Source organism: Homo sapiens, chromosome 8 (assembly GCF_000001405.40).
Source record: "Homo sapiens chromosome 8, GRCh38.p14 Primary Assembly".
NCBI classification, from domain to species: Eukaryota; Metazoa; Chordata; class Mammalia; order Primates; family Hominidae; genus Homo; species Homo sapiens.
The window spans coordinates 81,674,917-81,691,578 of NC_000008.11; the positions used below are offsets into that span (position 1 = coordinate 81,674,917).

Consider the following 16,662-nt stretch of genomic DNA (forward strand, 5'->3'; position numbering starts at 1 on the left):
CTCAAAAACACTTTCCAATTTTGGCATTTCCTTGGCTATTCTCACTGCCTCTACTTAGTTCACCCACACCCCAGTATAATCTCTACATTGCTAGAATTATCTGTCACTTTCCACTTCAAAACCTCTACTGGTTCCCAACTACCTTGAAACACAAACTAAATTTTCTTGCATGGACTGGCCACAGTGCCTCACAGCAAGGCCAAACTAACCTTTGTCCTGGCCACTTGCAGTGCTTCCCTCTCCATGAACATCTCACCATTCCCCACACGTATAATGGTCTTCAATTTCTCCAAGCTGTTCTTTCTGATTAAAACGCCTTCCTCTTCCCACCACCCCCCCACCCCCGCCAATCTGGAAACCCCTAGTTTTCTAAGGGCCAACACATGATCAACTTCTAAGACCCCTGCTGTTATGAAGATTTTCCCAACCCACTCTCAGCAGAACTGGTGACATCCTGTGTTCCCATAGTATTTTTTTTCATGGTTCTACCACATATCATCTTTACCTGTTCACACATCTAACTTTGTGCTGAGCTGTTGAGTTCAGTGGCAGGGCCAGCATACAGCCCAGAGCTGATTATATACTGAAAGCTCATGTAGCTTCTTCTGGACATTCTCATTAATTAATACAACCCTGGGGCTAAGCTGTCATTTGTCCAATATGTGTTTTATATTCAGAAATGTTATAACTGCTGTTATACATGTTGATCTTACATATCAAAAGTTCCTTGAAGATAGGTAGGTAAAATGTTAGTAACCATCCTTTACTGTTTGACCAACTAAGGAGCCAAACAGCAAGGAAATGCTATAGCTATATGTTTTATTCTGCTAGGCTTTAGATGTAAGTATTTACACATAAGACAACCTGAACTATGTGTAGGTTCCTAAAGAGAGTCTGTATTTTCCAACCATGCTTTGGCCCCTGCTACTTGCTGGTTTCTAAATGTATTTCTTCACTAACACCTACTAAAGCATTCCCAGCTCAAATCTCACCTCTTCCACGAAGCATTTAAGATCACATATAAACTTCTATCCCATCTGACTCTATCACACATATAATGGTTACTAAATACTGAGTTGTATTTCAGTTACTTGTGTGTATTTTCTTCTTACAACTCCTGCTTCTCAGAATACATAAAATTTTATCCAATGCAAATGTATCATGAAAATTTTAACAGTCCTGTAGCTTATATTCAAAATAATGCAGTTATATAATCAAATATACAGACAAACCTGAATTTATTATGAAAACACATTTACTTTTTCTCAGAAAATGAGAGCAAGGCATATAATCAACTATACGTTTAAAAAATCATACCTTTTTATTTACAGCAAAGCCAATTGAAACAGCTACAAAAGGAAATCTTTTTTTAAAAAAAAGGACAAAATACAAATTAACCAACATAGAACTTTTGTTAATAAAATTAATCTTTTCATAATATAAGTGTTCTTAAAATTTTTCCTATAAAAAGTCTCATCTCCACTCCCCACAAAATCTAAGATGCAAAACAGTTTGTATGGTATACAACCCTTTGTAAATAGGATAAAGTGGAGGTATTATACACACACACCCTCCCCCCAACACACAGGCACACGTTCACACAGGATGCTTCTATAGGCATGAAACATCTCTGAAAGGATTCACGAGAAACTTGTAACAGTGGTCATCTCCAGAGATGGATCCTGGGAAACCAGAAATGGAAGTGTGAAGGGCATTTTGCACTGCGTTTTCTATCTTTTGAAGGTCAAATTCTATGAATATAGTAGCTATGTAAAAATATTTTTTCATGGCCACGCACAGCGGCTCACTCCTCCCAGCACTAATTTAGCAGGCCAAAGCAGGAAGATCACTTGGGCCCAGGAGTTCGAGACCAGCCTGGCTGGGCAACATGGCAAGATCCTGTTTCTACAAAAAAAAAGTCACGAAATTATCTGAGTGTGGCGGTGCACGCCTATAGTCCAAGCTTCCCCGGTAGGCTGAGGCAGAAGGATCCCTTGAGCCCAGAAGGTCAAGGCTGCAGTGAGCCATAGTCATGCCACTGCATGCCAGCCTGGGTGACAGAGATGCTGTCCCCCTTTAAAAAAAAAGCCAAAATGTAAAAACTTTTAAATCAATTTGGTTAAAAAAGAAAACTGTAAAAACTTTTAAATCGATTTGGTTAAAAAGCATATATTTTAGTGATTTTTTTTTTTTTTGGAGACGAAGTTAAGCTCTTGTTGCCCAGGCTGGAGTGCAATGGCACGATCTCAGCCCACTGCAACCTCCACTTCCCGGGTTCAAGTGATTCTCCTGCCTCAGCCTCCCAAGTAGCTGGGATTACAAGCATGTGCCACCATACCCGGCTAATTTTGTATTTTACGTAGAGACGGGGTTTCTCCATGTTGGTCAGGCTAGTCTCGAACTCCCGACCTCAGGTTATCCACCCACCTTGGCCTCCCAAAGTGCTGGGATTACAGGCATGAGCCACCGCGCCTGGCCTGTGATGTTTTTTTCCTATGTCCTACACCGTGATAAACACAAATACTGCACTGGACAAAATAAATGGCTGTTACTTGTCTCTACTCCAACAGCAAACTTTAGGCTTGGCCTCTGAAAAGTAGACTTTGAGCCAAAATTTTTCCATAGCTGCATGACAGTCTGAACACAGGTTGTAACTGCTGACTCACAAGAGAATTAAGATCAAGGAAATAGACAAGATCAACATTCAACTATTGAAGCTAAAGCTGTTGAAAATAAAAACTTTTAAATATGTAAGAAAGTTTTTATTTTAACAAAAATAAGATACTATACACACTGTATTGTACTGTCTTCTCTTCTGTGAAAATATATTAGCATCTTTCCACATTTAAAAGATATAACATTCTATCACATATAGATTCTAAACCTTAGCTTTGTAGATTTCAAGGATTGTATATATAGTACAGATGTGTACAACTACATGGGAACTTCAAATATGACATCTATATGTAATCCCACCAGAAGCGGCTACTGATTTTAACTCTCATGGGCAATTCCACCAGGCTTTCTTCTAGTAATATCATATACCTACTCTGTGTCGGCACTATACTAAGTTCTTACATTAATGTACTACTCATAGAGTTGAGTTACAATTCTACGAGGCAAGTGCTATTAATACGGCCTTTTTATAAATGTTTTTTAACATTGTGGCCTAGAAAAGTTAACTAACTTGCCTAAGGTGAAAAAGCCGTAAAAAAATACCAGAATGCACGTCTATTCATCCTAACACCCATGCAATTTTTTTTTTTTTGCCGGCCCCAGCCCCAGCCCCATCCCCATCCCCGTCACCCTAAGGGCTGAGGAGAGGGGCCTCCTCTGCACTTTTTAACCGTGTTTTTTCTCCTGGACTGAACTCATTCTATATCGACAGCACTCCCCAAGAGTGACTTCATTAGTTTTACTAAAATACAATCTTTTTAACATAGTCAGTTTATAATTTTTTAAATTTATTTTTATTCTTTGAAAACATATCTTTGGCCAGGTGCAGTGGTTCACGCCTGTAATCCCAGCACTTTGGGAGGCTGAGGCAGGAGGATCACCTGAGGTCAGGAGTTCAAGACCAGCCTGGCCAACATGGTGAAACCCCGCCTCTACTAAAAATACAAAAATTAGTCGGGTGTGGTGGCAGGTGCCTGTAATCCCACCTACTTGGCAGGCTGAGGCAGAAGAATCGCTTGAACCCGGGAGGTGGGGGTTGCAGTGAGCCAAGACTGCGCCATTGCATCTCAGCCTGGCCAACAAGAGGGAAACTCCATCTTAAAAAAAAAAAACCATATTTTTACATAGTTACTACTAATAGATGCATATTAGTAGATCCATATAGATCTATGGTACATGCCACTCAAAGAATAGAAAATGGCATGCAGTGCAAAGTGCCCTTCCCACTCTCAAAGCAGCAATGTTGTTTGCTTCCCTTTTTAGATAGTGCCAACAGTGGGAAAAAGAATGGTGAACGGGGCACTTGGCACCACAGGACAAGATCACATTAGTATTTCTTTACCTCCTCCATATCTGATAAGTCTGCATAATACATTTTGCTCCACTTTTACATTTTATATATACTTTATTAGAATAAAGAAGCATAAACGAAGTATACAATTTTCTAAAGTGTACATGTTCCTAAATAGAGTATCTATAGGTCAATCCAGTTAATATGCAAAGAGTAATTATATTAGACATTTTAAAACATACCTATGTACAAAGTTAGTTGTTCCATCAATAGGGTCAATGATCCATGTGGGGTTGTCGGTTAAGATACTTTTTTCCCCAGCTGCCACAGATTCTTCACCAATGAAACTAAAAGCCAAGTAGGACAAACTCTTAATCTTTACACTGATTTCAACAATTTCCAAATCATAACATTTCCTTAGCTACACAGAGTACTATAAAACATAGCAGGCGAGGTGTGGAGGTTCACGCCTGTAATCCCAGCACTTTGGGAGGCCAGGGAGGGCGGATCACCTGAGTCAGGAGTTCAAGACCAGCCTGGCCAATGTGGTGAAACCCCATCTCTATTAAAAATACAAAAATTAGCCGGGCATGGTGGCAGGCGCCTGTAATCCCAGCAACTTGGAAGGCTGAGGCAGGAGAATGGCTTTAGCCTGGTAGGCGGAGGTTGCAGTGAGCCGAGATCGTGCCACTGCACTCCAGCCTGGGTAACTGAGAGAGACTCTGTCTCAGGAAAAAAAAAAAAAAAATAGCAAAAGTCTGTACCCTACACTTTTCTATTGTTGCTTCTTCTTCCTTCAGGTAAAGACTGATAAATGTAAGGAAGCTTTAATTTATTTCCCCATGAATAAAGCGATGTGAAAAATTTCAAAATTCAAATTATAAGATGTTATACTAGGGTAAGGTGTGTGCACACACACATTTGCGGCAGATAAGAAATCATTAAGGAAATGTAATGATTTTAAAAATAGGGGCCAGGTGTGGTGGCTCAGGTCTGTAATCCTAACACTTTGGGAGGCTGAGGCGGGCGGACCATGAGGTCAGGAGTTCAACACCAGCCTGACCAACATGGTGAAACCCCGTCTCTATTAAAAATACAAAAATAAGCCAGGCGTGGTGGCATGCACCTGTAATCCCAGCTACTCAGGAGGCTGAGGCAGGAGAATCACTTGAACCTGGGAGGTGGAGGTTGCAGTGAGGTGAGATCATGCCACTGCACTCCAGCCTGCCTGACAGAGCGTGTCTCCGTCTAAAAAAAAAAAAAAAAAGGTCACTCTCTAATACTCTCCGTCCTTCAAGAGGTGGAGCCTAATATTCCTTCCTTGAGCGTGAGCTATGCAGATACTTGTTTCTAACCAATAAAGCGTAAGTGACAGTATACAAAACTTTGGAGACTAGTTCACAAAATGCCCCTCTAATTTGCATCTGGTTCACTCTGTTTCTCCCTTCCTGTGCCACCTGCTCTGGACTAGGAGATGTCAGCTTCCATGTCGTGAGCTACTCTGTGAAGAGGCTACATGGTAAGGAACTGAGAGAAGCTACCAGCAGACAACTCCCCCAGGAACTGACATCTGCCAACAATCACGTGAGTGAATGGATCCTTCAGTTCCAGTCCAACCTTCAGTTGACTGCAGCCTTGACCAACACTTTGACTGTAACTTCATGGAAGACCTTGGCAAGAACCGTGTAGTCAAGCTACTCTCATATGCAGAACCCCAAGAAATGGTGAGATAATAAACATTTCTTGTACACAGTAAATAAAAATACCTGTGAGATGGATACTTTTCCTTTATGGAAGAGATAAGCATTTTTTCAACTTTTTGGTCCGTAGCAGTTACCAAATCAACTGGAGAACTTTTCAGCATAACATTCATTTCATTTTTTATAGCTTCACAAACTACCTAAAAAGAGGTTTTGGTAAGCAAATAGAAAAGGCATAATTTTAAACAAAAAGATAAAATACATAAATGGTTTAAGACATTCAATCTGTCTTAAATAATATTCTTTAAAGACATTCTTAAAAATGTCTTACAAATATATCTATAAAATAAGCCTTTAATAGTTACGTCTTTCTAAAAACAAAAATTATATAATCTTACATCTTATTTTAGATTCACAACTGTCATCACAGAAAATTTTATCATATAAAATTAGGGTATACACGCAAGAGTATTTAGTAAAATGAAAATAAATGTAGATTGATCAAAGTGTATATTTTATTTAACAAGGCAGGCTGGGTATGGTGGTTCACGCACGTAATCCCAGCACTTTGGGAGGCCAAGGTGGTCCAGGAATTCAAGACCAGCCTGGACAACACAGCGAGACCCTCATCTCCACACAAAAATTTAAAAAATGAAAAGTAGCTGGACATGGTGGCTCATGCCTGCTGTAGTCCCAGCTACTCAGGAGGCTGAAGTGGGAGGATTACTTGAGCCCAGCCTGGGAAGTTGAGGCTGGAGTGAGCCATGTTCCTGCCACTACATTCCAGCTTGGGTGACAAGCAAGACCGTTTCAAAAAAAGAAACCAAATCGAAACAAACAAAACAAGGCAACAACACAGTATACCCACCAATCACATTATAATTGATTATAATTGACAAAATCTTAGCTCATACCTCTCCAGCTTGTCTTGCTAGAGTTACTGCATAATCCATGCATTCCTGCCAAGGATCAGCCATCTTCTGAAAATATTTGACAAATATCTGTACAAAGTAGTTATAACTGTCTTAGAAGTCTTAATTATAGAATAGTTAGTTCACAAAAACGTCTTAATTAGAAACAGACTGTCATTTCAGGATTCACCCCCTGCCCTAGAGTTTTTCCCAAGATTTATGCCTATACCCAGTAAAAAACATTTCTCACCTAAATTACCTAATTTCTATATCAAATTATTTTCATAAAGACTATTCTATGAAATTGCTTCCCAGTGTGTCTGTACCATATTACATTTTTTTAAAAAACCAAAACATTCGTTTGGAGAATAGATAAGAAACAACACAAGAAATACTTTAAAAGTTAGGATAATATTTTGGAGGAGAATACAGTGAAAACGAGAAAGAACACTGGGAATACTGAAATAAAAGAAGCTTGAAGGGAAGCAGCAAAAGGTACTTGAAAAAATTATGTGTAAAGATGAAGAACTTAAGGTTCAGAGATGAGAAATAATTTGCCCAAAATTACAGACAAATGACACAGAACTTGAATTCAATTCTGATTTTAAAGTCCATTTTTCTTTCTATTATAACATTCTGAGAAAAGAAAATTCCAGGACCAAAAAAAATAAGAAAAAAGCAAATTTATTTCCCTGAGTTTCACAGAGGGAAAAAAAAACCCAACATATATTTGTGTTCTAAACTGTCCAGTTTTCCACTGACTTCTGAAGACTAAAATAACTCACCACTGGCTTGATCACACTCTGAAGTCTGTACCTAGCACAGTAAAGCTTTTTAAGCTGTCAGACTAAAAACTGTGGCACCATTTATAAAACAACCCTAATTTTGTCTCCTTTCCAATAGAAAATAATAGACACAGAGTTACATCTTGAAGACTATTCAGAAACTCCTATCTTGGGGCCCACATTATAGGAAAGAGGACAGGAGTGGAAAGGAGGGCAAAAGACCCACACGCTAAATTTCTTCCTGATGCTTTTTCTTCCTGATTAAAGCATTTTTTAAAATTTTGTTTTAAAGGAAGCCACTCTATGAGTCATATAAGCAACTCCTTCAAGCTCTTCAAGAATTGTTTCCAAACTTTTTTTTTTCACTCTTACTCCCATTCTGCTCCACTAGTCTTAACAGAACTAGATGTTCTCAAGCTGTACCTGCTTTCCTGCCAGAAACAGCTCAAGCCACTCACACCCCCGCCTTCTAACAGCACTAATGTAACTCTACAAATTCTTCAGGACCCATTTCAAAAGCTACTTCTAGGGATTCTCCACCCAGAAGTCACTATGTCCTTCATCCTTCAATAGATGTTTACTGAATACCTATTGTATGCTATACACTGCACCATGGGGAGGAAAATCAGGTCCTGTTCACACTTTCTAGGAGGGGACTCAATATCAATCAAAAACTAAAGACTACATGCAAAATAACAACTGGAATAATATAAGTTAAGGAGAAGAAGTGCAATGAGAAGCATCTAACAGGGGAGCTTTCACCTGGACTTAGGCATCAGATCAGGTTTCCCTGAAGACAAGATTAAACCAAGATGAGAACAAGTGAACAGGCATGAACTCAATCAACTGCAGGATGCCTGGTACATGAAGACTAACTGAACAGCCTAAGAGTGACAGCTCAGATTAAGGGAAACAGGAGAGATAAAGCTGGGGAGGTAGTGGGGATCATCCTCTACAGGGGGGCCTTAGGGATAAGACATTGATTGAAGGGGCTTCAAGAATCACTTCATTGTGGCTACTCAACAGAAGGGTAGAAAGTGGGTGTTGGTAGAGGGTCAGCAGATTTACATTCAGGATGCAGTAGTGGGAGGATACCTGATGATTGGCTGAAACCTGGGAGGGAAGTTTTGCTGGTAGAGAAGTTAAGAGAGTCAGAGATACCTGTTTTGAGGGAATCTAACAGATTGGCTACAGAGTACCAGGGACAGGAAGAGTTCAGATTTCCTCTGAATCTGGATGTCCAGATTTCCCACTCTGGCAACTGTATGGATAACCGTCACAGTCTACTGAAACAGGGAGCAACAAAAAAAGAGTCAAGTTTGGGATATAGGTAGGAGTTTGAGAGATCAGGAGTTTAATTAGCGGAAGATGAGAGGCCTCTGTAAAATCAAAAGATGTCAGTTAGGCAGCTGAATCATGGATCCTGAGCTCACAGGAGAGGTATGGCCTCCATGTAGAAACATGTAAGTTACTTGAGTAGACAGCAACTGAGGTCCTGAGTCTGGATAATCACTGGATAGGCATGATTGACAACTGTGTAGAAATGTGATCCCACAAAATCAGTATGATCCAAATGGAACAGACTGACTGTGGAAACCCAGCAAGGACTGTCCATTCGGATTCATCTTGGCCTCTCTGTCCAGCATTCCTTTCTCCTGTATATGGGGCAAGACCCCTTGTGAAATGGAGGTCTTACGATCTACAGTCAGACAAGGTAGGTCAGAGAATTTCTTCATGGCTAGTTCTAAGACAGAAAGGTGGGCCAAGATTCCTGTCAAGGGCTATGGGAGTTATGAGCCAGGAATGGTGGATGCAAACTATATATATATATATATACACACACACACACATACACACATACACACACACACACACATACACACACATACACATATATAATACAGTAAATATACTTTATATACTATATATTTAGATACTATATATAGTATATATACCATACATAAGTATATTTAGATACTATATATAGTATACCATACATAAGTATATTTAGATACTATATATAGTATATATACCATACATAAGTATATTTAGATACTATATATAGTATATATACCATACATAAGTATATTTAGATACTATATATAGTATATATACCATACATATTTAGATACTATATATAGTATACTATACATAAGTATATTTAGATACTATATATAGTATACTACACACAGTATCTTTAGATACTACAGTATACTACACATAAGTATCTTTAGATACTATGTGTAGTATATATACTACACATAAGTATCTTTAGATACTAATGTGTAGTATATATACTACACATAAGTATCTTTAGATATATATATCTAGTATATATATACTACACATAAGTATATATACTACACATAAGTATATATACTACACATAAGTATATTTAGATACTATGTGGAGTATAAATACTACACATAAGTATATTTAGATACTATGTGGAGTATATATACTACACATAAGTATATTTAGATACTATGTGGAGTATATATACTACACATAAGTATATTTAGATACTATGTGGAGTATATATACTATACATAGTATCTATGTGTAGTATATATACTATACATAAGTATATTTAGATACTATGTATAGTATATATACTATACATAAGTATATTTAGATACTATGTATAGTATATATACTATACATAAGTATATTTAGATACTATGTATAGTATATATACTATACATAAGTATATTTAGATACTATATATACTATACGTAAGTATATTTAGATACTATATATAGTATATATACTATACATAAGTATATTTAGATATATATACTATAAATAAGTATATTTAGATACTATATATAGTATACATTAAGTATATTTAGATACTATATATAGTATATATACTATACATAAGTATATTTAGATACTATATATACTATACATAAGTATATTTAGATACTATATATACTATACATAAGTATATTTAGATACTATATATACTATACATAAGTATAGATACTATATATAGTATATATAGTATATATACTATACATAGTATATTTATGTACTATACATATAGTATATTTATATACTATATGTAAGTATATATGTAAGTATATTTATGTACTATATATAAGTATATATACCTAAGTATATTTAGGTACTATATATAAGTATGTATACCTAAGTATATTTCTGTACTATATATAAGTATATATACCTAAGTATATTTCTGTACTATATATAAGTATATATACGTAAGTATATTTCTGTACTATATATAAGTATATATACGTAAGTATATTTATGTACTATATATAAGTATACAGAAGTATATTTATGTACTATATATAAGTATATATACTATACATAAGTATATTTATGTACTATATATAAAGTATATAAGTACATTTTATATATATTTTTATATATAGTTATATATAATATATGAATAGTTATATATATATAAATCACAGTACATTTATTGATGGGCAGGGTCCGTAGTTTACTCACTTTCATTTTCCCAAAGCCATAAACACCTGAACTGTTTCCTGCTGTTTCTGTCCTGGTCACAGCCTTCCAGCGTAGGAGCCAGGCCACCTTCCTTTTTGCCACCTGTCCCAGCACCGCGACTGCGGGCAGCACAGGACCTGGGCGCTGCCCCATCACTTAGAGTGACTACCTGGGCCTGGGGATGCACCAAGTTTCTAGGAGCTTTTCGGAGTTGGGGACATAAAAAGGGGCAATTATTCCACAGAAGCCGCCACAGAGGTTAAGTGAGGTCGCGTGAGCGAACCGCTACTCCAATGCCGGAACTGTTCCCGGTCGCCCAGGGCAGCTCCGGATAACGCAGCAGGCAGGGGTCACCCAGAGGCTGCCTCCACCCTAGGCGCCGACCGCGCACGGCGCTCGCGCCCGCTCCTGAGGAGGGAAGGGGCCTCCCTGGAAACCCACAGCGCCCGCTGAACCCGGAGGGTGCGGTGAGGAAAATAACGGTCTCACCTTGAGTCGGAGGACGTCCGGCTAGCTCTGTGAACGGTGTTACCGCACTCGTCTCTTCCGGAGGTAGAGGGGCTACTCGCAACAGGAAGTTCCGCCCTTAAAAACTCCATTCCTGAGGGGGCGTGGTTGCTTTGCTGGGCCCCGCCCCGAGCTGCGCCCTGCGAGCCTCTGCCAGGCCGGGCCGGGTCCTGACCCGCGCTGGAGCATGGGATACTGCCTCTTCATTCTAGCTTCTGGTTCTTTTCTCCTGCTTGTCTTTTCATCTCTCAGTTTTTAAACATTACTTCTCTCTTTACTTTGCCTTTTTCTTCTTTCGTCCTCCATTCATTCACGGTTTCCCATTTAGCTTGCTTTCTTCTTTCTCCCATTTATTCTATAGTACTATTTTGACAAAACCCAGATTGCAGATATGATTCCGATTATGCAGCTTTTAGGTGCTAACCTAAAGCTGGTAAACCTATACTAGATTAAAAAAAAATAAACTGATAACCAGAACCAACTGCCCAATTCTTGATAATTTACTTACATACTATTTATTGAGGACTTACTATGCTTCAAGCAATTGTGTGGGGTTTTATTGTTTTGTTTTTTTGAGACGGAATTTCACTTTTGTCGCCCGGGCTGAAGTGCAATGGCGCGATCTCGGCTCACTGCAACGTCCGCCTCTTGGATTCAAGCGATTCTCATGCCTCAGCCTCCTGAGTAGCTGGGATTACAGACGCCTGCCACAACGCCCGGCTAATTTTTGTATCTTGTAGAGACGGGGTTTCACCATGTTGCTCAGGCTGGTCTCAAACTCCTGGACTCAAGTGATCCGCCTACCTCGGCCTCCCAAAGATTACAGGCATGAGCCACCACGCCTGGCCGAAATGTGTTTTTATATGCATTATTTTCCTTAAAGTTTTAACAGTTTCTTGAAAAAGGTATGATTAGCTTTGTCAGACAGATGAGGAAACTGAGGCTCAGAGTAGTTAAGTGATTTGTCCTCAGGTCACACAGCAAGAGCAGAGAGTGAAACACACTGAGTTCAAAGTTTTGGGGTTCAGAAAATGATACCCCACAATGAAGGCCTCAGAAGCAGCCTTAGAAGGAAAAATTTTCCTCTGACTCCTTTTGGTCTCCTGTCTCTGGTCCCACATTCTTCCCCAGACTAGTCATAGAAGCTAGAATTCCTCTTTCCCAAATCAGGTCCCAGAAATCAGGACCCCTTTTTTATAAAGCCAGCCATAAAACATAAAAATACTACTCTAGGCCAGGCAAGGTGGCTCACGCCTGTAATCCCACCACTTTGGGAGGCCAAGGCAGGCGGATCACGAGGTCAGGAGATCGAGACCGTCCTGGCTAACACGGTGAAGCCCCGTTTCTATTAAAAACACAAAAAAATTAGCCGGGTGTGGTGGCTGGCACCTGCAGTCCCAGCTACTCGGGAGGCTGAGGCAGGAGAATGGCATGAACCTGGGAGGTGGAGCTTCCAGTGAGTGGAGATCGCGCCACTGCACTCCAGCCTGGGCGACAGAGGGAGCCTCCGTCTCAAAAAAAAAATATATATATATAGAGAGAGAGATATAGATAGATAGATAGATAGATAGATAGATAGATAGATAGATAGATAGATAGATATTACTCTAGCATTCTCCCTGTGTTTCTATGTAAAATCTGACCACGAAGAAATTATATGACTCACCCTGTCTGAGTTTAGGTCATAAGACCCCCATTCCAAAGAGGGTCCTATGGAGAGAGGCCAAGAAGAATCTAAGCAGACAGGTCTTACTGGATTTCCCCAGTCTAATAGCATTAGGTTATACCCTCTTTGTCCAACCATATTCTACACAGCTGTCCATATGCTGTTGAAACTAAGCATAAAATGGACTGTCCCCTTATACCTTTGGGTCTTCATTCTGAAGGCTCCCAAGTCACATAAAACTATGATCAAATAAAATCCTTTTCTTCTATTTATCTGCCTTTTGTCAGTTGATTTTCACCAAACCTTCAGAGGACAAAAGGGAAGTTTTTTCTTTGGCCCTACAAAAGTTTACACACTGAGAATATATGGCACAATGAGATCACATTATATGAGGTACAAGGACTAGTTATGGTCTTAAAATGTTTCTTCTTCTTGAAAGAGTTGGCCAGGTGCAGTGGCTCATGCCTGTAATCCCATCACTTTGGGAGGCCAAGGCAGGCAGATCACCTGAGGTCAGAAGTTCAAGACCAGCCTGGTCAACATGGTGAAACTCTGTCTCTACTAAAAATACAAAAATTAGCCAGGCATGGTGGTGGGTGCCTGTAATCCCAGCTACGAGGGAGGCTGAGGCAGGAGAATCGTTTGAACCCCGGAGGTGGAGGTTGAAGTGAGCCGAGATAGCGCCATTGCACTCCAGCCTGGGTAACAAAAGTGAAACTCCATCTCAAAAAAGAAAGAAAGAAAGAAAGAAAGAAAGAGCGACATCGTGGTACATACACCATCATAGTGCAAAAAGCATTGCACAGATATAAGATGTCCTAGCTACAACTGGACCAGGAAAGTAAGTTAGTTATTTGGCTCTTTGCTTAGGAAGTTACTGTTTCTGTTTGTTTAATCAAAAGACAAAATGTCACCAATATATTTCAAATGAAATGTCTTAGAGATGAGTAATTTGGACTGGACTCAATTCTCACACCTCACAAGGACCAATAAACATCTTTAATCCAAAAAGAGTGATGCCTTAGGTATCCGGTTTGGATGTCTATCAAATGATACTTTATTTTCTTAGAAAAAAAAAAAAGGCTTCTGAGGCTAGTTTTTCGGTTCTTCATTGCCAATCTTCTTAAAATAAAAATATTGCCAACCGCATGCTGACAAGTGCTCATTCGTAACCAACTAATATTTCCAAAGTTTTAACAGAAAAGTCATCGGTCATCTAAGTTTATGTAAATGAATGTGGTTTCAGTGACTTGAAAAAACTGCTAAAATCAGCATAAACAATTTGAAGTAAAATAAACTAAATATCAAATATCCCTTCAAATGAAAACCTTACAAGCTTCCTATGTCAGGTGAGCAGGAAGTCCAGTTTTTCCAAGAGGCCTCACCTCAACAGCTACTTCACATTGGTTCTCAGGTAACTCACTCAGTATTTTTCAGTCCAAAGAGGCCGTTCTGCTTCCAAATGCCTTACCGAAAGTGAAGTGAAAATCTGCCGGTGCACAGGGAAGTCTTAGTGTTCAGGCTCGATTATAGTGGGGCTGGAAACTGGTCTCACAAATCCAAAGGATCTTTTCTCTGATGCTGTGAAGGTAGTTCACATGGCTGCAGAGACCTCAGTACAGGATGCATGGCCCTTGAGTTCCCAAAGGGGCATTTTTTAAAACTACAGTCCCATCTGCAGCCATTGTTCCCAAACCTAAGAATATCTGCTGTGCCCAGGTGGTTGTCGGGGGCAGGGGACAGCAGCACAAACTCTGCTTCCTGGCATGATGTCCAGCTCCTCACTCTTCCAACCTTCCCTAAGGGGAGTTCCCTCTTGGAGGCCTTTGGTATCCTTTCCTGTCAGCTGACTCCCATCTATGAGAGAGGTTGTAATTACGCTGAACCTCAGAATGAAAGAGAGGTGAGATCCAATGCCCCTGACACCTCCCCAGACAGCTGAGTGTACACAAGAGAGTTCTAGGGAAGGGTGGCCCTGTGAAGCCACAAAGTGGTCTGGTCATCCTTCCCAGTGGGCAATAGGTGCTTCCTTGTTCTGTATTTGTACAATAAAGAGGGGCCATAGGAATTCCTTCCCCAGAAATTGTGGGCATCTTGCCAACTACACTTAGTCTTTGGAGATGACTTCTTTTTAAATAACCACTCTCTTCACTAAAAAATAATTCAGGTTCCACATGCGAAGACGTTCTTGGTTATAATAATTATTTAAGTGGACTTTGATTTAAATGATCAAATATAAATACACCATGGCAGCTGTTCAGGGGTGGAGTGTCCAAGGATATCTAATAAGATCTCATGTTTGATATAACAGATTGGAGTTGCATATATTGGTTAAGACTTTGACATACCCTTATAAGGCCAACAGCTTTCCAAGATATAAAAATATATATCATAAAATTGTTATTCTTGGAAGAGTGTATCATAGAATCATCTCTTAAGAGCTGGAAAGAAACTTTTTTAAAAATTGGCATAACCATTCTATCTCTGGATCGTTATTCTATCTTATAGAATCGTGGCTGTGGAAAATAGTTGGTATGAACTCAACTGATTAGTCAGTCTGCTTTATGCCTCTCATTCTTATTTTTTTAAAAAGGAATAACTTGGGTCACCCCATCCCTATCCATATTTTTGGACAAGTTTTACTATGTAAAATCTGTCCTCCTTGATACATCTATTAAAGAAATAAAATATACTCCAAATTCCATCCATGCCCTTGCAACTGCTTTATAAGATCATTTAAATATGCATAATGTAACAAAAATAATAATAGGGCTTACCATGTGTCAGGCATTCTTATGAGGACCTTGCTCATATTAATTCACTTAATCCTCACAATAATACCACGAGGTAGGTACTACCATTATCGCCATTTTCAGCATGAATTTGGGCATAGAGAAATCAAGTAACTTGACCAAAATGTTCCCCAGCTGGTAAGATGATGGAGCTAGAAGTGCAGCCCAAGAGGTCAGGAGTTCAAGACCAGCCTGGCCAACATGGCGAAACCAGATACAAAAATACAAAAATCTCTACCCAAAATACAAAAATTAGCTGGGCATTGTGGCAGTCACCTGTAATCCCAGCTACTCAGGAGGCTGAGGCAGGAGAATTGCTTGAACCTGGAAGGCAGAAGTTGCAGTGAGTGGAGATCATGCCACTGTACTCCAGCCTGGGTAACAGAGTGAGCCTCCGTCCCCCCGCCCAAAAAAAAAAAAGAAAAAAAAAAAAAACAAGTCAGCCAGGCACGGTGGCTCAGGCCTGTAATCCCAGCACTTTGGGAGGCCGAGGTGGGCGGATCACCTGAGGTTGGGCGTTTGAGACCAGCCTGACCAACATGGAGAAACCCCATCTCTACTAAAAATACAAAATTAGCCGGGTATGGTGGCGCATGCCTGTTGTCCCAGCTACTCAGGAGACTGAGGCAGGAATCGCTTGAACCTGGGAGGTGGAGGTTGTGGTGAGCCAAGATCGCACCATTGCACTCCAGCCTGGGCAACAAGAGCAAAACTCTGTCTCAGAAAAACAAAACAAAACAAACAAACAAACAAAAAACCCAAAACATTATGTAAGTTAAATTTGTACAAATGTAATTCTATTTTAAACCTATAGTGGATATTTCAGTTTAAAGGAGTAAAATATTCTACAT

The 16,662-nt window shown here is 39.4% G+C and overlaps 1 protein-coding gene across 3 annotated transcripts in view, besides 1 other annotated feature; it reads right to left on the minus strand.

Moving 5' to 3' along the window:
- Positions 1-11,409, minus strand: part of IMPA1 (inositol monophosphatase 1) — a 29,412-nt gene extending 18,003 nt beyond the window's left edge. For 2 of the 3 annotated variants that reach the window (NM_001144879.2, NM_005536.4), the window contains exons 1-5: positions 11,336-11,409; positions 6,582-6,668; positions 5,734-5,867; positions 4,210-4,314; positions 1,318-1,363 (exon numbers count right to left, since the gene is read on the minus strand). In NM_001144879.2, coding sequence (NP_001138351.1) covers positions 1,318-1,363; positions 4,210-4,314; positions 5,734-5,867; positions 6,582-6,644 — 348 coding nt within the window. In that variant the 5' untranslated portion in view covers positions 6,645-6,668; positions 11,336-11,409. Of the gene's footprint in view, positions 1-1,317; positions 1,364-4,209; positions 4,315-5,733; positions 5,868-6,581; positions 6,669-10,846; positions 11,048-11,335 lie in introns of all 3 variants that reach the window. The other variant, NM_001144878.2, reaches the window with a different exon arrangement.
- Positions 11,155-11,655: an enhancer, noted in NCBI's record as "H3K27ac hESC enhancer chr8:82598306-82598806 (GRCh37/hg19 assembly coordinates)". NCBI's record gives its function as "activates a minimal SCP1, AML or CMV promoter by ChIP-STARR-seq in naive H9 embryonic stem cells {active_cell/tissue: H9 hESC(naive)}" and the evidence as "EXISTENCE:reporter gene assay evidence [ECO:0000049][PMID:30033119]".